This window comes from Homo sapiens, chromosome X, assembly GCF_000001405.40.
Source record: "Homo sapiens chromosome X, GRCh38.p14 Primary Assembly".
In the NCBI taxonomy this organism is placed as follows: domain Eukaryota; kingdom Metazoa; phylum Chordata; class Mammalia; order Primates; family Hominidae; genus Homo; species Homo sapiens.
This window is the reverse complement of record NC_000023.11, coordinates 118379947-118401599: the sequence shown is the minus strand read 5'-3', so window position 1 is coordinate 118401599 and position 21653 is coordinate 118379947. Positions and strand designations below refer to the sequence as shown.

The window sequence follows — 21653 nt, the reverse complement described above, 5'->3', positions numbered from 1 at the left end:
TTTTCGCAACCTACTCATCTGACAAAGGGCTAATATCCAGAATCTACAATGGACTCAAACAAATTTACAAGAAAAAAACAAACAACCCCATCAAAAAGTGGGCGAAGGACATGAACAGACACTTCTCAAAAGAAGACATTTATGCAGCCAAAAAACACATGAAAAAATGCTCATCATCACTAGCCATCAGAGAAATGCAAATCAAAACCACTATGAGATATCATCTCACACCAGTTAGAATGGCAATCATTAAAAAGTCAGGAAACAACAGGTGCTGGAGAGGATGTGGAGAAATAGGAACACTTTTACACTGTTGGTGGGACTGTAAACTAGTTCAACCATTGTGGAAGTCAGTGTGGCGATTCCTCAGGGATCTAGAACTAGAAATACCATTTGACCCAGCCATCCCATTACTGGGTATATACCCAAAGGACTATAAATCATGCTGCTATAAAGACACATGCACACGTATGTTTATTGCGGCATTATTCACAATAGCAAAGACTTGGAACCAACCCAAATGTCCAACAATGATAGACTGGATTAAGAAAATGTGGCACATATACACCATGGAATACTATGCAGCCATACAAAATGATGAGTTCATGTCCTTTGTAGGGACATGGATGAAATTGGAAATCATCATTCTCAGTAAACTATCGCAAGAACAAAAAACCAAACACCACATATTCTCACTCATAGGTGGGAATTGAACAATGAGATCACATGGACTCAGGAAGGGGAATATCACACTCTGGGGACTGTGGTGGGGTGGGGGGAGTGGGGAGGGATAGCATTGGGAGATATACCTAATGCTAGATGACGAGTTAGTGGGTGCAGCGCACCAGCATGGCACATGTATACATGTGTAACTAACCTGCACAATGTGCACATGTACCCTAAAACTTAAAGTATAATAAAAAAAAAAACAAAACTGATTTCTGGGGCTGAGATTATGAGAAACTTTCATTTTCTATTTTACATATTTCTGTATTTCTTTTGATAACCAGAAAACACAGATGATAAACCATTTTTAAAGCCATTATAAGGTCTCTGCTACCTATAACTCTGAAGCTGTATTTTCTGGATAATTATAAGTTTACTACCACTTTAAAAGCCAAGAAAACAGACATTTTAATTATTTCAGATGGTAATAGTTCTAAAGTATCTACTTTTATGCCTTCTTAAATGGCACTTAATGTTCCCTAAATTTCATTCCTTGATGGATAAGATCGTTACCATCATTTTGGTTCTTTAATACATTCAGAGCCTTTCTAATGCATTGCAGGTGGGCCATACTATTGGTTCCCCACTCAGCCTTCAAGGCAACAGGGCAGGGCCCAGGGAAGCCTGGGCCAATCTTCTCTGGCCATCAGCTGATGGCCAGCTTACCCCAACATTCAGTGCAAATACTATTATGTTCTCTGTGTGTCAATGGCATAAGAAAAGGTTGAAAAGCACTGTGGTACAATGATTGTGCTATGAGTTTTTTTTTTTTGGTGGGGGGTGTGGGGGACAAGGTCTTGCTCTGTCACCCAGGCCGAAGTGCAGTGGTGTGATCACGGCTCACTGCAGCCTCGATCCCTCAGGCTCAAGCAATTCTCCCATGTCAGCCTCCTGAGTAGCTGAGACCACATGTGTGTGCCACCATGCCTGGCTAATTTTTAAAATTTTTTGGTAAAGAGTGAGTCTACCTGTGTTGCTCAGGCTGCTCTCAAACTCCTGGGCTCAAGTGATCCTCCTACTTTGGTCTCCCAAAATGCTAGGATTACAGGTGTGAGCCACTGCACCCACCTATATTATGAGTTATTTTATCATTTTTCTGATTACCTGACATTCTTATGTGTCAACTTACATGTTGTCACAGTTTGCTGCTTCTATTTTGCAGTAAGCTCAGACACTGAACAGAGTTTTAAAAAAAATGATGTAAGAAATAAGCATAATGGCTTTGAATAAACCTGAGGAACTTTTCTCTTAGAAAAATAATGAGCTTTAGTGCATGGACTATGTGACATCTCTTCTGGATGTTTATCTGTCCCAGAATAATTGTAGTAATTCCTTATTCTCAGGTTCCCAATAACTGCAACTACTAGATGGCCAAGTTCCAAATATCTAAGGTGCTATCATATGCCTGCATTTTAGGTACATCTTTCCTAAAAATTCTCAATGCTTTCTTTGATACACACTAGGAAAAGGACTCAAGTGGATAATTCACTTTGGACCTTAGAGTTAATTATTATCAATTTAGTGACTTGTGTATAATCAAACAAAATGTACAGGCCCACCATTGATCTAGAAGTTTGTAGGGGAAACAAAGGATGGCATAATCAGAATCCTTTTGCAACATACGCTTTGATTGTTTAATGTGTATTTGTCTGAAAACAGTTTAAGATAACATATTGTAAAGGGAAAAAGTAAGTTATAGACTACAGGTATTCCCAAAATTGAGAAAAGAAAGAAAATTGCCATGGACTGTAGTAGTCAGGAGGAATCTCATTATAGTTGGGTTTAGAAAGACAAATAGGATTGCAGAGATAAAGAGAAAGGGAAAAGACAACTTCAAGGACAATCATGTTCTTCTACTAACACTTTTCGTACCTACCTACTGGTAGAAAAATAACACAAGTATGGTGCAACACTTACTGGTCATTTTCTGTATGTCAGATGCTTTATTATTATTACCATTTTTTTTTTGAGGGGGAGTCTTGCTCTGTCGCCCAGGCTGGAGTGCAGTGGAGTCCACCTCCTGGGTTCAAGTGATTCTCCTGCCTCAGCCTCCCAAGTAGCTGGGATTACAGGCACCTGTCATCATGCCCAACTAATTTTTGTATTTTTAGTAGAGATGGGGTTTCACCATGTTGGCCAGGCTGGTCTTGAACCCCTGATCTCAGGAGATCTGCCTGCCTTGGCCTCCCAAAGTGATGGGATTATAGGCGTGAGCCATTGCGCCCAGCCCAGATGCTTTAAAACTAATCAATACAACTTCATAACCCATCAGCGAGGGACAGGGAGGAATGGTGGTGGGTAGACATAAAAACTACATGGAGCATGATTTAAAATAGTATGGTAGTTCTCATATTTTTTTAAATAAAAACTTGAAATGAAGAAAAGGGATGTACTGTAACTCACGTTTTCTGTTTTAACCTTCCACCATCAGTATCTGTTGGCTGAGACTGTAACTTCTCTTCATCATCTGACTGTGCCGCGTCATTACTGTAAGAAGGGGAAGTTGTTTTAAAAGAAGCCATTTCTTCTATACTTCTTAAAAATCTGTTTATACTTACTATATAACCAGTTAATCAGAATAAGAAAAACTACGCTAATAAGCTTTACATAATTTTAATTATTTATTTATTTATTTAGGAGATGGAGTCTTGCTCTGTCGCCCAAGCTGCAGTGCAGTGGCACAATCTTGGCTCACTGCAACCTCCGCCTCCCTGGTTCAAGCAATTCTCCTGCCTCAGCCTCCTGAGTACTTGGGACTATAGGCGCACACCACCATGTCTGGCTAATTTTTTGTATTTTAGTAGAGACAGGGTTTCACCATGTTGCCCAGGCTCGTGTCGAACTCCTGAGCTCAGGCAATCCACCCACCTTGGCCTCCTAAAGTGCTAGAATTACGGGTGTGAGCCACTGTGCTCGGCCCATATAATTTTAATTTAAATGATGGACCTGACAACTTAAAGGCTTCAGAAATTGAAGAAAAGAATCTTTAAGCAAGGTTCAATGTACAACATGTAAATGAATGCAATTTAGAAATTTATGAAAAACCTACTACAAACAAACCTTTTTGCTTGGCAAAATGTGCTATAGGGAAATAATAAAGTAACTTGTAGGTATCTTCCTCCCCACTCATTAAGTACATCCTGCATTACATTTAATAAAATAGCTCCTGCTTTTACCAAAATGATTCAATAGATCCACATACATCTCGTAGTAAAGTCACTCATCTCATTTTAAAGCCATTTTCTGATCCTACAAAAACAGTACAAATATTTAAACAATTTATGATCCTTAAAGCAAGGTTTCAGAAGACTAAGTGTTCATTCTACATAGCTTTTTAGCCTCATTTTTCTGTTATTTTAATTTATTTATTTATTTTTGTGGAGATGAGGTCTCACTATGTTGCCCAGGCTCCTCTCTAACTCCTGAATTCAAGTGCTGCCTCAGCCTCCTAAAGTGCTGGGATTACAGGCATGAACTATCACGCCTGGCTGCCTCACTGTTTTTATATTGTCTCAAGTATAATTTAAATCATTAAAAAAGAGAAATTAAGTGCTATGGGATTTAATATTTATACTATTTTCCCCAAGTAACTGTACAGTCATAATGAAGAGCAAAGTTAAAGAATACATACATTATCTAACTCTATTTTAATTCCAGAAGAAAAAAGACTGAATGAAACCAAATTAGGGGTTGTCATAGTTCATTAACAGAGAAATCTTAACAACTCTGAAATACTAGAAATGACAAATAACAACATTAGGCCATACCTTACATATTCTTTTGTCCTTCTCATGATGTGTAGAGTGAGAGGATTAATGCCTGTTGGTAGTTTCTCTTCTGCAAGACTCAAAGGTATTTCTTCTCCAGTATCCAGGTTCTTAATCATTACACTGGCTAAAATTTCCTGAGGTTAAAAAAAAAAAACAATCACACCAAGATGACCTGCAATTTAATTATCTTTTTGAGTCTACAAAATCCCCTAAAATTTAAGCTAAAGGCTTTTTAGATATATTCAATACTGCACACAATAATTTCTAACATTTTTATTGAGATATAATTCACATGCCACAAAATGCACTCATTTAAAGCATATAATTCAATGGTTTTTAGTATATTCACAGAGTTGTACAACTATTGCCACTAAGTCAGAATATTTTCTGCACCCCAAAAGGAAATTCCCTACCCATTAGCAGTCACACCTCATTTCCCTTTCTTTTTAGCCCCTGGCAAATACCAATCTACTTTCTGTCTCTATAGATTTGCCTATTCCATACATTTCATATAAATCAAATCCTGTAATATATGGCGTTTTATGTCGGTTTCTTTAACTTAACATGATGTTTTCAAGGTTTATCCATGTTGTAGCATGTATCAGTACTTTATCCCTTCATTCCTTTTAATTGCTAAAAAATATAACATGGTATGAATATACCACATTTTATTTATCCATCCAATCAGTGATGAACATTTGGGTTGTTTCCACTTTCTGGCTGTTATGAATGATGATGCTGTGAATATTTGTGTACATTTTTTTGTGTGAACATATGTTTTCATTTCTCATTGGTATATACAAAGGAACGGAATTGCTGGGTCATGGTAACACTATGTTTCACATTTTGAGGAATTGCCAAACTGTTTTCCAAAGTGCAATATTTTAAGAAATGTATTGTTTTAAAGAAACATCAACTAAGATTTTGCTGTAAAATTTAATTCTGAATAAGTTGGCTAATAGGTGCATACTAAGTTTTAATGATAAGAAACCATTAAAATAATAAAAAAATTTATTTTGGTATAACATATATTCATAATATCAAGTTCTTTTATTATTATATTATTTTAAATTTTTTTTCTTGAGACCGAGTCTTGCTCTGTCGCCCAGGTTGGAGTGCAGTGGTGTGATCTCGGCTCACTGCAACCTCCGCCTCCCAGGTTCAAGTGATTCTCCTGCCTCAGCCTCTGGGTAACTGGGATTACAGATGCACACCACCATGCCTGGCTAATTTTTGTATTTTTAGTAGAGACAGGGTTTTGCCATGTTGGCCAGGCTGGTCTCAAACTCCTGACCTCAAGTGACCTGCCCACCTTGGCCTCCCAAAGTGCTGGGATTACAGGAGTGAGCCACCACACCTGGCCTCAATATCAAGTTCTTTTAAAGCCCACTTTCTATAAAATATAAACCTTGCTTTCAATATATTTATTCCACTATGCAACACAGTGAAAGGGCAAGTTTAAGTCAGAGATGCTACATCCAGCATATCAACAAAGACAATCTTCAATTTTCATTTTTTCTTCTGTATTTTTTTTTGTGTGTAACAGCAATAAACTTAAAAAAAATTAAATTGTGGTAAACTACACATAACATAAAATTTACCATTTTAACCATTTTTAAGTGTATAGTTCTGGGTCATTAAGTACATTCACATTGTCATGCAACCATCATTACCATCCATCTCCAGAACGTTTTCATCTTCCCATTATGTTTTTTGTACTTTATGTTTTAAGAACAAGAACAAAAAAATCTATTTCTACCTCATCAGTAAGCTCTCTCCCAGAGTTGGATCTAGGTCTCTGAGGGCCCATCACTTCACCTGCTACAGTCTGCCCATCAGGTGCTTTTCCATTTTCCTGGAAATATAATTTTATAAACAGAAATTAGACTGAATCAATTTCTATAAATTTTCAATTATTACCACATATAATTCTAAAGAATTTCATAATTCAGATAATGGAGTCTGCTGAAAATCTAAATGGAACATTACGTTTCAGTCCTTCATTTTTCCCAGCATGCTGAAAAACATTAGGAACCAAAACTATTGCTGCTCATGAAATAATGTCTTAGTATTCTTGAAAACAAATAAATGTTCTATTTGAACCTGGCCAAAAGGCATTTCTCTACTAAGACTGCTATTAATCTGGACTGTATGTGGCTACCTCAAAGGTAGGGGTCAGAAAACTTCTCTCTATAAAGAGCCATACAGTAAATATTTAAGGCATTTTTGTTCATATAGAGTCTCTGTCACATATTCTTCTTCTTATTTTAAACAACCTTTAAAAATGTAAAGAACATTCTTAGCTTGGGGAACCTCCTAAAGCAGGCCACTACTGACCCCTGCTCTAAGGCTATAACAAGACTATAGTGTCCTATATTCTAGTGTGGTAGCCTGGCCCACCACAGCTACCATGTAAGTAGCTCTGAGTCCCAGAATCTGGCTGTGGTAAAATTAGTGTTATCAAGTCTTTTGTGTAGCCCGCTTCCTAGCATATAAAGTTTTTCTATGATTAGGAAAAGGAAATTATAAAAAAAAAAAGTCTTCAATTCTGACCAATACAGGACAAACATAGACTATAGTTGGTGTTTATTAGTACCAACAATATTACAAATAGTAGCATCTGTCGTTTTTTGAATACCTATTACCTGCTAGATACTTGGCATATTTTAGCTCATTTCAAACCCTCAAGGAAGGACTTTTCCTCCATTTTATTGATGGGGCATCTGAGATCCAGATGCTAAACAGCTTGCTAGGCTCACCCAGTTAGCATGTAGCAGAGCTGATCAAGAGAAGTAAGGGGGTCAGGTTTGGAGGACAAAGAAAAATCTGGCCTGGAGAATACAGAATAATCATCAACAAACCAGCCAGTTGCAGGGAGCTGATAAAGTCTATATGAAACAGAACACTAATTCACCAACCTGGGCGGTAACTATTTTATCTCCACTGGTAGCACTTGCCAAATCAAGAGAAGGCTGAGAATCCTTAACCGTACTTTCTGAAGCCATGCTTGCGGTTAGGAGAGAATCAGACGTAATATTCTCTTTGGGAACTGCAATGATAATAATAACAACAATAATAACAACCCTTTTTGTTTGATTCTTGTAACAACCCTGTGAGGAAAGTGGCTTGATTACTCTCATTTCCTATACAGGGAAACCATGGTTCAAACAAGTTATTTAATTTCCTCAAGACTATACAGCTCATACAAAAAAAAGATGCAGGACTTGAATTCAGACTTTAGGTCTCCAAATCCCAAGTTTTTTTCACCATGCCACTCTCTCTCAGATGGCAACAGAATTGAAAGTTTGAAGTCTGCTGAAGTGTTCAATTACAGTAAAGTAATTTTCACCAATGTAAACATTTTTACATTTTGTCTATTACTAAAGAAATAATTTTAATAACTTGGTTGCCAGTGAGTTTTTTAATAAAGTGAAATAAAGGCAGAAAGGTAAACAGTTTCAACTCCAAAATTTCACCACAAAGAGTTATTTCTCTCTTTTTTTTTTTTTTTGAGACAAGATTTCACTCTGATCACCCAGGCTGGAGTGCAATGGCGCGACCTTGGCTCACTGCAGTCTCTGCCTCCCAGGCCCAAGCAACTCTCCTGCCTCAGCCTCCCAAGTAGCTGGGACTACAGGCGCGTGCCACCATGGCCAGCTAACTTTTGTATTTTTTTTTGTTGTTGTTGCTCAGATGGGGTTTTGCCATGTTGCCCAGGCTGGTCTTGAACTGAGCTCAAGCGATCCGCCCGCCTTGGCCTCCCAAAGTGCTGGGATTACAGGCGTGAGCCACTGTGCCCAACCAACAGAGTGATTTCTCAATTAATACTTGCCATCTATATCAGGAGTTTTCAGAGTCTCAAATTCCAATTCGCTTTTCCTTTTTCTTGGTGGTGGAGCAGGTCGAGAAGGAGGTGGGGGTCTAGGAGGTGGGAAATTAGTTGGAGGAGGTGGGCGTGCTGGAACAGGCTTCTTTGTACTAGCCACTATATCAGGCTCTGGAGTAAGGTGTCTTGGGGGTTTGGCAGGGGCCACTTCTTCCACAGCGGCAAAATCTTTAGTAGATAAGGAGTCTGAGGACACAGGCTCTAAAACATCACCACCTCCTTTGACTTCCACTGCTTCCTTGTTCAATACTTCTGTTTCAGTTTCAAGCACATTAAGCTGCTCAGTTGAACTTGTTTGAGTTAACTTCGTGGTTTCATCTACTGGTTTCTCACAGGTTTCATCAGAAGGAAAGCATTTTTTTAATTCTAATTCAGTCTCTTCAAATGTATTCTGACTCTCTGCCTTTTGGGATTCTTCCGGTAGTACTTGATCTATGGCTAACAGTCCGGGTATATTGCTCAGATCTGTTCTAGCCACAATAGGACTGGCAGTAGCTTGATCAGAGAGTTCTTTTCCTTTGGAATCCAAAGAGTCATCTTCAAGCTGTAGTACTTTCTGACTCTCCTCAATAATACTTTCAATAATCTGATGAAAGGGTTAAAAGTAGTTTTTAAAAATGAAGCTATTTATAAGAACACAGTAACAGCTAATCATTTACATAGTACTTAGTATGTGCCAGGCAATGTTCTTAACACTTTACATATTTTAATCTTTACAACAACCTTATGAGATTCTACTCCTACTGTCACCATTTTACAAATTAGGGAACTAATCAAATGATTTGTCCAAGGTCACAAAGCTAGTAAGTGATGAAGCAGGTATAAACCCAGGGAGTTTGATTCCAGCATCTATACTCTTAACCCTCATAATAGCAAATTTGTGTTAATACTTAGGTACAAAAGATCAAATAATCCTGTAAAATCAAGTTCAATCCTAAACTTACATTAAGACTCAATATCCTGATTCATTTACATATTTATGCCAAACTTGTTGTAATACCAGCCTAATGGTTTGAGCCTACTTAACCAAACCACGATAATCCAAATCCCCAGGAGAAGAATTCAAGTTGTTTAGCTCTGAACTCAAGCTTATGACCCAAAAACCAGCAGATGCAGGGAGATTAACATTCTTAAACAGACTACACCTAAACTCCACTATGTGGACTGATGGCAGGACCATGAAAAGAGTTCAAATACCCAGTCCACCTTGTCTTTTCCCTTCCTTTCTTTTTCTTTTTTGAAATGGAGTCTCACTCTGTCACCCAGGCTGGAGTGCAGTGGCACGATCTTGGCTCACTGCAACCTCTGCCTCCCAGGTTCAAGCAATTCTCCTGCCTCAGCCTCCCTAAAAGCTGAGATTACAGGTGCTCCACGCCGGGATAATTTTTGTATTTTTAGTAGAGACGAGGTTTCACCATGTTGGCCAGGCTGGCCTTTAACTCCCGACCTCATGTGATCCACCTGCCTCAGCCTCCCAAAGTGCTGGGATTACAGGCATGAGCCACTGCGCCTGGCCCCCTTTCTTATATGTAGCTTAAAATATAAACAGGCTTTCTATTATCTTCTGCCAACATTTAGAATATATTTTCTCCCCAGTCTTGTCATTACTAATATTAAATCTCCCAGATCACTTATCCTGCCACCATGTCCAACCATGAACAACTTCTGCTTTCTCAATTCCCTGGCTTCAGAAAGTTAACAGAATGCATCATAGAACCATCCTAATCTGGTTTACTACAATTTCATGCTAACTTGAACTGGGTATTACTGCTGCTCAGTAATATTCATCCCTGATTTCTTAGCATGTTCTATATGTTAGTTTTTCTCAAACTTCAAATTGTTAACCTTAGAAATTACCTTGCTTTCACCAAAACTAACCAGAGTCCAACCAATTTGTCAATTAGGTGGTTACTGAGCACTGAGAACCTCAATGATAACAGTGATAACAGAAGTCATATTACAATGGATTTGAGATTGAATAAGAGGTGAAGATACAGAGACATTAGCACGGTCTGAGTTTTCAAAAAGCTTAGCTATAAATGCAAAAAGACTTCGATAAAGTGACCCAGCACTTTTATAACCTGAAGGGAAGGAACTACTGGAAAAGAAGATAACAGAGCAATGTTCTGGAAAAGAAAGGAAAGAAGGCCTACTGTGTATTAGACCTAGTATACACATTCTCATTTAATTGTCATACAGGCCTTTGGGTTAGGTAGCTGGATTACCTCCCTCCTAGAAAAGCAGGACTCTGAGGTAAAGGCTTTAAGAATTTTGCCAGTCCCACAATTAGTAAGCTACAAAGCCAAAACTGAAATCCAGGTCTTACTTAAAAATCCAGTGATCTTTGTATTATACCACACTACTTTGGACAGAAAACAAGAATACTAAATCTTCAGTGATGGATGACATGAAAAAAAGGTAAGAAATAACAATAAATATGTAGGTAAAGGAAGTGAAAGATGATACAAAGGAATGGATTCAGGCTTTTTAGCCTCTAATATTTACGTGGAGTAGGAAACAAGGTTATCGGCTGAAAGTGAGGGGGATGTGAGTGGGTACAGTGAGCATGAGGTGAGTATAAAGGTTTGAAATAATCACTACACATAATGGAAATGTCTGTGCCACAAGAGGGGTCAAAATGAGGTTGAAAATGCATCTTCCCCAATCCCTTATCTGATAATAATCTCTCCCTCCTCTGCACTTCTATTATTATTCTTACTGTTCAGTATAGTATGAACTATAATACAAATACAGAGCTGTATATAGGCTAGCTCTATTTATTTTCTCTACACCAGATAATTAGTACCTGGAGAGAAAGGTCCATGTTTTTTGCCTCTTGATATGCCTCATGACACCTTCTTATGGTGCCTAGCCCTGTCATTTTTTTCTGGATTTTAGGAAATAGTGAAAACGGAAAGACTAAGAGAACAATGAGAACCAAGACACACATAGAGATGATTATGCTAAAGCATTGTTTGCTGCAAAAAGCTCACTGTGACCGGACACGGTGACTTATGCTTGTAATCCCAGCACTTTGGGAGGCTGAGGTGGGCGGATCAACTGAGGTCAGGAGTTCAAAACCAGCCTGGCCAACATGGTGAAACCCCATCTCTACTAAAAATACAAAATAAATAAATAAATAAATAAATATAAAAAATTAGCCTGGCGTGGTGGTGTGTTGGTGTAAACCCAGCTACTTGGGAGGCTGAGGCAGAAGAATTGCTTCAACCCAGGAGGTGGAGGTTGCAGTGAGCTGAGATCACACCACTGCACTCTAGCCTGGGCAACAGAGCGAGACTCAAGTCTCAAAAAATAAATAAATAAATAAATAAAAAGCAGACAGTTTAGTATGACATAAGGCATTCCTATAATCCAGCCCTAACTTTGCTCTCTAGGCTCATCCTCAAATGTTCTGCACATTCCCCACCTCCATGCCTTCAGTAATGCCTTTCCTCTCCCATCTTAGCCTGGCCAAATCCTTTTTTTTTTTTTTTTTTTTGAGAGGGAGTCTAGCTCTGTCACCAGGCTGGAGTGCAGTGGCGCAATTTCAGCTCACTGCAACCTCTGCCTCCAGGTTCAAGCGATTCTCCTGCCTTGGCCTCCCAAGTAGCTGGGACTACAGGGACACGCCACCACGCCCAGCTAATTTTTGTATTTTTAGTAGAGATGGGGTTTCTCCATGTTGGTCAGGCTGGTCTCGAACTCCCGACCTCAGGTGATCCGCCTGCCTCGGCCTCCCAAAGTGCTGGGATTATAGGCGTGAGCCACCGTGCCCGGCCTAGCCTGTCCAAATCTTATGCATTCATTAAGAACCAGCTCAGATGCTACCTCCTCCATGAAGTCATCTTCATTCCTACCCCCAAGCAAGAAGTCTCCTTCCCTTTGTGTTCTTACAATAGCTTCTAAGTTTATTTGAATACTTACTGCATTTAGTTTTGTGTTTATCCAATTTCTTCTACTAAAATGTAAGTTACTCGAGAGCAGAGTATGCCCTCGTCCAGGGTATATCCCCATAGCCTTTATCATTAGTGATTCATACTTAATTCAACTGAAAAGGCTAGAACTTAAAAAGTGATTATTTAGAATCTTAAACCTCATTCTGCTCCACAGTGTTTTCTCACTACTGTTTAAACTTCTAAACTCTCCTTAAAATCATCTTTTTTCCCCACTAACTATAGATAGTTATACATTTGTTATTTATCCTAAGAAAAACATTCTTTAAAAAATAAGAAAAGCTATAGTGGAAAAAACAGGAATATTTTAAGTTTCAACAATAAAAATGGCTAGATAACATTGTAATCCATTTACTTGATGGAATCTGATGCATCTGAGTACAGAACTCATATAGAAGTATGAGGAAAATCTAAAAATGGTAAGAGTAAAAGACAGAATATAAAATTCTACCTACACTACAATTAGGCAGAAAAATGTATGCTAATGGATGAGGACCAGAAGGAAATGCTGAAAAATCAAGACACCTGTGTGTTATAGTATAGAATTATAGGCAATTTCTTATTTTTTTAAAAAAATGGTTCAATTCCTGTTATGTACACTGCTATGCAATCCACCATTCGTCCCAAAAGGGAACATTTTTCCTTTAAAGGAAAAAGTATGATCAATATCAAAATATGTGGTCTCGCTGGGCACAGTGTTGCACACCTATAATCCCAGCACTTCGGGAGGCTGAGGTGGGTGGATTGCCTGAGCTCAGAATTTCAAGACCAGCCTGGGAAACATGGCAAAACCTTGTCTCTATAAAATATACAAAAATTATCCAGGCATGGTGGCATACACCTGTAGTCCCAGCTACTCAGGAGGGTGAGGTGGGAGGATCACTTGAGTCCAGGAGGTGGAGGCTACAGTGAGCCATGATTGTGCCACTGCACTCTAGCTTGGGCGACAGAGTGAGACCCTGCCTCAAATAAAAAAAAAATGTAGTCCATTAAATTTCTAAATTCCATAAGGATAGAACAGTGGTTTTCCATTAGGGGTTATTTTGTTCCATACCCCTTCCCAGACATCTGGAGATATATTTGGTTGTCATAATTGGGAGTTGAGGATGCTATTGGCATTTAGTAAGTAGAAGCTGGGGATACTGCTAAAACATCTTACAATGCACACAACAGGCCTTCCCCTACCCTCTATTAGCCCAAAATGTCGAGTGCCAGTACTGGAGAAACTCTGGGGTGGAGAATGTGTCATTTTGTTAGCCTCTGGAAACCCACTGGCTAGAACATTGCCTAGGGCACAGAAAACACTTAAAACTTGTATAAATGAATAAAAACACACCATCCTGTCTTTCTCCTTGAGTTTTATCCTGATACTGTAAACTGCCCATTTTCAAAATACTGATCTTGTGCTCAGTCTCTTCTAGTAAACCAACCTTTGAAGCTTCATAGCATCAATTTTTTAAAAGGTATCAGGTACTATCAGAGTAAGGACTTCTTATAACTTCTGATTCCTAAAGACATCAGAATGTTGCTGCACTGAGCTTTTCAATACCCATAACTCCTGGTAGTAACCTCAAGAAGAGTTAGGGCTTATTCTGATAAAAATACAAGAACAAAAAATAAAAGCATTTTACAAAATATTGTCTCAAGGATAAATTACCAATTAGAATATGAAAAGGACTTCTAAAAAGACTGAAATGTCTTCAACCACAAATGTGACAGATTCATGAAACATTTGCTGAACATCAGCCATGTACAGAGCGCTATACTAAAAGAATATAAAAGCTGTTTGAAATATACCATATAAATATGATGTCTGCTATAAACTAATATTGACATTGTATCTTTCCAACCTTTTTAGACACATCTTGTTTCAATTCTTGTACAGGGGACTCATTTCCAACTTTGTATGCAGTGTTCTCTGTTTCCTGTTTGAAAAAGAAAAGAAATAGAGACCAAATGATGACATCTTTTCTTTAAAAATATGCTTTAAAGGGGTACAAATGAGAAAATGTAGCATTAATAAATCAAAGGCCCTTAAAGGGCTTTGATTTCTTCTTCTTCTTTTTTTTTTTTTTTTTTTTTTGAGACAGAGTTTTACTCTGTCACCCAGGCTGGAGTGCAGTGGCACAATCCTGGCTCACTGCAACCTCTGCTTCCCGGGTTCAAGTGATTCTCCTGCCTCAGCCTCCCGAGTAGCTGGGATTATAGGCGCGTGCCACCACACCTGGCTAATTTTTGTAATTTTAGTACAGACAGAGTTTCACCTTGTTGGCCAGGCTGGTCTTGAACTCCTGACCTCAAGTGATCTACCCACCTCAGCCTCCCAAAGTGCTGGGATTATAGGTGTGAGCCACTGTGCCCAGCCTAAAGGGCTTAGATTTCTGAATACTGATAGATGCTCAGAAATTTTATGCCAAATGGGACAATGTAATTTGCATAAGAAAGTTACCCATCAGCAATATTCTATTATTCTGCAATAGGATATTTACCTTTAAATGTGAAAACTTGCTCAACTTTTTAACATTAAAAAACTGTAATGGACGATAAGAACTTCTACGTACTTTTATAGCTAAAAAGGATTAAGGATTTAAGCAAGGGGCTGAATAAAAATTGTTATTTTCCCCAAAGCATTGCTCCATAAATATGCACAAATACAAAAGTTTATAACACAGAAAACCACATTCAGGGAATAGTTTTCTTAAAATTCTACATGCTTTAGATAAAAGAAATCAAGACTTAACCAGAAGTTAAATGAAGCCCCTAAAAAAACTATGAAAAAAGATGAAAAAAATTAAACCCACCAAAAATACATATATATCTACGTATACATTTATATACACATACGTACATATATATATATATTTGGGAGGTTAGAAATGGATACTGCATTTCTGCTGGAAAAAATTAGGGTAAAATAAGACAATCATATATTTGCAAATCTCAATACAATACTCTTCTCAATCTTAAGTTGTCTATTTATAGAAGCACAGCAATTTGAATGCTACTCTTGATACTGAGGAAAAAAAACCATAATTCTTTGTGCACATCACAGAGTTTGTTAGAGGAAGGTCATTATAACCATTTTAGACAGATAAAGGACTCAAGGCACATTAATTATTTAGGTGGCACTTATACAAGTATCAGGATATGATCACAATAGGCTCAATAATGAAATTACTCCAGAGATTATTAAAATGTTAAAGATTTAACGTGCCAGTGAAATTTCTGTAGGACTTGCAATATCTTCGAGCACTGAATTCCTCCCCCAGAATTTGGAGAATACTACCAATCTTACACAGATTCTTCTAGAAAAAAAAAAATGTTTCATGGACTCTTAAGTATTAGATAAAATCCAAACAGTACCAAGGCCCATGAAGGCCTAAACATGACATAGCCTCTGCCTACATTTTTGATATCTTCTACACTCCTCATCTCCCTCTCATATCACTCCCCCACAATTACATTCTGGCCAATAGGATGATTCCTTGCCATTAGGGTCATAGCTCAAGTGCTATTTTATCAGAAAATACTTCCCTGACCATCTCAAAATAGCCTTAGCTGACTCCTTAACTTTCTATCACATTATCCTATTTTTCTTTTTTTTTTTAACTTTAAGTTCAGGGGTACATGTGCAGATTTGTTACACAGGTAAACTTGTGTCATGGGGTTTTGTTGCACAGATTATTTCATCACCCAGGTATTAAGCCTAGTACACATTAGTCATTTTTCCTGATCCTCTCCCTCCTCCCACCCTTCACCCTCTGATAGGCCTCAACATGTGTTGTTCCCCTCTATGGGTTCATGTGTCCACATCATTTAGCTCCCACCTATAAGTGAGAACATGCAGTATTTGGTTTTCTGTTCCTGCATTGATTTGCTAAGGATAATGGCCTCCAGCTCCATCCATGGCCCTGCAAAGGACATGATCTCGTTCTTTTTTATGGCTGCATAGTATTCCATGGTGTATATGTACTACATTTTCTTTATCCAGTCTATCATTGATGGGCATTTAGGTTGATTTCATGTCTTTGCTATTGTGAATAGTGCTGCAATGAACATGTGTGTGCATGTGTCTTTATAATAGAATGATTTATATTCCTTTGGGTATATACCCAGTAATGGGATTGAGGAGAGGATGTCAAACTATCCCTGTTTGCAGACAACATGATCTTATATCTAGATAACCCATAGTCTCAGCCCAAAAGATTCTTAAGCTGATAAACAACTTCAACAAAGTCTCAGGATACAAAATAAATGTGCAAAAATCACTAGCATTATTATACACTAATAACAGCCAAGCAGAGAGCCAAATCAGGAATAAACTCCCATCATTTGCAATTGCCACGAAAAGAAAATACCTATGAATACAGCTAACTAGGGAGGTGAAAGGAGAACTACAAACCACTGCTCAAAGAAACCAGAGATGACACAAACAAATGGAAAAACATTCCAAGCTCATGGATAGGAAGAATCAATATCGTTAAAATGGCCACACTGCCCAAGGCAATGTATAGACTTAATGCCATTACTATTAAACTACCACTGAGATTCTTCACAGAACTAGGAAATTTTATTTTAAAATTCATAGGGAACCAAAAAAGAGCCTGAATAGCCAAGGCAAATCCTAAGCAAAAAGAACAAAGCTGGAGGCATCATGCTACCCGACTTCAAACTATGCTACAGTGCTACAGTTACCAAACAGCATGGTACTGGTACAAAAAGAGACACACAGACCAATAGAACAGAATAGAGAATACAGAAATAAGACCGCACACCTACAACTATCTGATCTTCGACAAACCTGATGAAAACAAAGAATGGGGAAAGGCTTCCCTACTCAATAAATGGTGCTGGGAAAACATTATCCTATTTTCCTTCATTGCACTTATCGTTCGAAATGACCTTATTTACTTGCTTATTTTTTGTCTCTTCCCTGTCCCACTAGAATGTAAGCTCCATGAGAGATGGACCTTGTTTGTTCTATCTACAGTTTGTTCAGTACCTAAAACAGTGTCCAGCACTAAATAATCATTTGCTGAATGAATGTTGAATGATGCATGCTCTGTTTTTTCTTCAGTTAATACATACATCTTAAGTTTACATAGGCTTTAATTGGATCCTGGTTTTATATGAAAGAAGGCCGGGCACAGGCTGAAACCCGGAGTTTGAGACCAGCCTGGGCAACACAGTGAGACCTCGCCTCTAAAAAAAATAATAATTAGCCAAGCATGGTGGTATGTGCCTGCAGTCCCAGCTACTTTGGAGGTTGTTGTGGGAGGACTACTTGAGCCTAGGAGCCTGAGGCTGCAGTGAGCTATGATAATGCCACTGCATTCCAGCCTGGGGAAGAAAGCAAGACCCTGTCTCAAAAAAAAAAAAAAAAAAAGAAATTAAAAAAAAGAAATAAAAATCTAACCAAGACCAATTGATAAGATAACCTTGACAAGGTGGAGAGAGAATACTTGGAAGCTGATCACCATTAAGAGAATACTTGGTCCAGCCTGGGACAGAGCGAGACTCTGTCTCCAAAAAAAAAAAAAAAAAGAATACTTGGAAGCTGATCACCATTAAGAATAGTTGATGCTCTCAGCAGAACGGGGTCCGCAGGAAAAAAGAAAAAAATAAATAAATAAATAACAGTTAATGCATATTAGAGAAACACCTTCAACTGTCCTACTAATTATTTTTATCCAATTATTTTCTAATAACTGTTTATCAGTAGGAAAATCAGAAGCATTGTACAGCATAATTCTGTGGATATTTTCCCTAAATTAAGCTACATAAAATTACACATTAATAATCTTTGGACCTCATTTTGATTAACTGATTTTTAGAAGCAGGGTCTCGCAGTTGCCCAGGCTGGAATGCAGCCATCCTCCCACCTTAGCATCCCAAAGTGTTGGGATAACAGGCGTGAGTCACTGCACTTGGCCTATGTGTCACTGCACTCGGCCTAATTTGTTTCAATTATTTACTTATAAAAGATTAACATTCCTACACTAGCCAAAACTGCCAAGCAGTGATCAGACTTCTATTTTATTTGGCTTTAACAAAACTCTCTTGGAGTCTGAACTTTTAAAAGATAGTAACTCCTAAGGTACTCTGCTGTTTTAAGTCACAAGTTTAAAGGAGTGATATGGCACCTACCAGAGGGCCTGATCTCCAGAGAAGACTTCTTAATAAAATCAGACTTAGGATATATAGTCAATTATGATTCTCTCTCAGTGATGTATAACATCCAGGTCCTTCTAACACCTTGATCAGGCTTTTGGGACAAAGGAATGGAAGCCAAGCATGTGTCCACAGACAACCAATGCCAACTTAGCTATACTTGAGACAGTCCATTACCTACTTCTGGTGATGTGCTGACCCATTATTAAAATGCAGTACTTACTAAATCCCAGCTTCCCTACTATTAGGCAATTTCTCTAACTCCTATCTATCATGGTATCAAAAATTTGCTTCCTTAAAAGGTATGGTAGCTTATTCAATTTTCAGCAATTCATGTAACAGTTACCTCCACCTGTGTTGGATATTACAGAGCTGTCTATAACCCCCCTGCAGTATTTGGTTATAAGATTTCAGCTTTTTAATTTTAATAAGTACACCCAACAAAGTATTTGTATGAAAGTGATCTACACTCACAGAAATCTTCATTATTACCTACTAAAGAACATTAAGCTAAAAACATTAATTATAGAAAAATTCAGGTAACTGGTAATTTTTAGTAGTAAGGGAAGGGAAGCTACTAAAGTGAAATTTTTTAAAAAAGGAGAAAAACTTATAAATGTGACTTCCACTCTTTTTTTGCTGAGAAAATTGTTCTAAAAAGTAAACAACTCTTAAATCGCTGTCATATCCATACATCCACTCCTTTCAATGCTGTTCCCTTTGTTGGAGTCTCATGTCTTGACATTTTAACTGCCTCTTGACAGCTTTCTTTGCACCTAAGTCTTTTTCCTCCAAACTTTCTTCCACCCTTCCACCAGTTTTCTTAGTTCCCGAGCAAAAACAAACAAACAAACAAACAAAAAAACCACCTTGGCAGCACAGCTGTAAGACATATAAAAGTTGACTTTTTAAATGTCCCACTTTAGGCCTGGCACAGAGACTCATTCATGTAATCCCAATGCTTTGGGAGGCCAAGGGAGGAGGATGGTTTGAGGCCAGGAGTTTCAGACCAGTCTGGACAACCTAGCAAGACCCTATCTCTAAAAAATAAAAATAAAATAAAATAGCTGGGTGTGGGGTTTGAGTCTGTAGTCCTAGCTACTTGGGAGTCTCAGGTGGGAGGAGTCCTTGAGACCAGGAGTTCGAGGTTATAGTGAGCTGTGATTGTGCCATTGCATTCTTGCCTGGGTGACAGAGTGAGACCTTCAAAAAACAAAAATATACTGGTCGGGCCCAGTGGCTCATGCCTATAATCCCAGCACTTTGGGATGTTGAGGTGGGCAGATCACTTGAGGTCATTTGAGACCAGTGTGGCCAACATGGTGAAACCCCATCTCTACTAAAAATACAAAAATTAGCTGGGTGTGGTGGCGGGCGCCTATAATCCTAGCTACTTGGGAGGCTGAGGCAGGAAAATTGCTTGAACCCAGGAGGCGGAGGTTGCAGTGAGCCAAGATTGCATCACTGCACTCCAGCCTGGGTGACAGAGTGAGACTCCATCAAAAAAAAAAAAAAAAGAAGAAAGAACGAAAGAAAAGAAAAGAAAAGCAAGGAAAAGAAACCCAAAAATATCCTGCTTCAAAATTTTAAAGATCAGAGTTCTTTTCTAAATTTTTTTTTAACTTGAGACAGAGTCTCACTCTATCGTCCAGGGTGGAGTACAGTGGCACAATCTTGACTCACTGCAACCTCAGCCTCTCAGATTCAAGTGATTCTCCTGCCTCAGCCTCCCAAGTAGCTGGGATTACAGGCATGTGCCACCACGCCTGGCTAATTTTTGTATTTTCAGTAAAGATGGAGTTTCACCATGTTGGCCAGGCTGGTCTCTAACTCCTGACCTCAGGTGATCTGCCCGTCTCAGCCTCCCAAAGTGCTGGGATTACAAGCGTGAGCCACTGCGCCCCATCTCTTTTCTAAATTATAATTTAATTTTTAATTGACACATAATATGATACATATTTACAGGGTATAATGTGATGTTTCAATGCATGTATACATAGTATTATGATAAAATCAGGTAACCTGACATTCAAGGCTCATCACAATCTGGCCTCAATTTATTTTCCAGTACTCTACCACTGAAACTTTTACACTGGTCACAGTTTTTCAATGCTTCTAGCAAATCCCATGCTTTTGCATATTTATTAGTCCCTACTATTTCCTAACTACAATGCTTTCCCAATTTTTCTCTATCTACCTATGCAAACCTCTCCCAATTTTCAAAGCTCAGCAAAAGTTCTATTTCCTCCCTGAAACTTTTCTCTGCTATTTCAGGTAACAGTGCTCTCACGCCAATTCTATCTTCCTCTCGTTCCTCCAAACCCCTTGTGGCAGTTAACACGTCTATTCTATTTTACAAACATCGAGACCTCATAAATTGCCCTTTTGTATACATGTCTCTTCCATCAGACTGTAAAATCACCAACAATCAGAACTATATCAAGCCTTCCTTTATATTACAATATCAATAGATATACTGTTATTCATAATATGCACTCAATAGCCTCAGTACATGTTTATCATATAATACTACTCAGCAATAAAAAGAAACAAACCATTGATACAGACAACAACTTGGATGGATCGTGACCCTTTCAACCAATCCCATAAGGTCACATAGTATATAATTCCATTTATAGAACATTCCTTAAGTGACAAAATTATAGAGATGGAAAACAGATTTAGGGATGATATGGGGAAGGTGGTGGGTGTGATTATAAAGGGGTAGCACAACGGAGATCTTTGTGATGATGAAATAGTTCTGCATCTTCATTGTGGTGGTTATACAAATATACACATGATAAATTGGCGCAGAACTATACACTCGCATTGCACCAACGTTAAATTCCTCATTTTAAAATTGTACTATAATTAAGATATAACCACTGGGGAAATGGTGAAGAATATACAGGACCTTTCTGCATTATCTTTAAAGCTTCCTGTGAATCTATAATTATTTCAAAATAAAAAGTTAAAAAAATGAACAATATCCAACTTCATATTTATTTACTAAATATGTATACTTGTTATCTAATTTCACTCAAGTTAAGGACAATCTATAATTACGGGGTAAAGTAAATTCTCCAAATCTATTTGTTATAATATAAAAATATCTTAGCGCTAAATGGCTTTTAAGACCTATAAGCA

The 21653-nt window shown here is 38.1% G+C and overlaps 1 protein-coding gene and 1 non-coding gene across 5 annotated transcripts in view; both read right to left on the bottom strand.

The window, feature by feature from the left end:
* Positions 1 to 21653, bottom strand: part of WDR44 (WD repeat domain 44) — a 103889-nt gene that overhangs the window by 48362 nt on the left and 33874 nt on the right. For 2 of the 4 annotated variants that reach the window (NM_019045.5, NM_001184965.2), the window contains exons 3-8: positions 14186 to 14260; positions 8329 to 8968; positions 7415 to 7545; positions 6256 to 6351; positions 4494 to 4630; positions 3130 to 3213 (exon numbers count right to left, since the gene is read on the bottom strand). In NM_019045.5, the coding sequence (NP_061918.3) occupies positions 3130 to 3213; positions 4494 to 4630; positions 6256 to 6351; positions 7415 to 7545; positions 8329 to 8968; positions 14186 to 14260 (1163 nt within the window). The remainder of the gene's footprint in view (positions 1 to 3129; positions 3214 to 4493; positions 4631 to 6255; positions 6352 to 7414; positions 7546 to 8328; positions 8969 to 14185; positions 14261 to 21653) is intronic. The other 2 variants (NM_001184966.1, XM_011531353.4) reach the window with 1 other exon arrangement.
* Positions 15129 to 15206, bottom strand: MIR1277 (microRNA 1277). Its single transcript, NR_031685.1, has one exon. It is a non-coding gene; the product is annotated as a microRNA 1277 (primary transcript).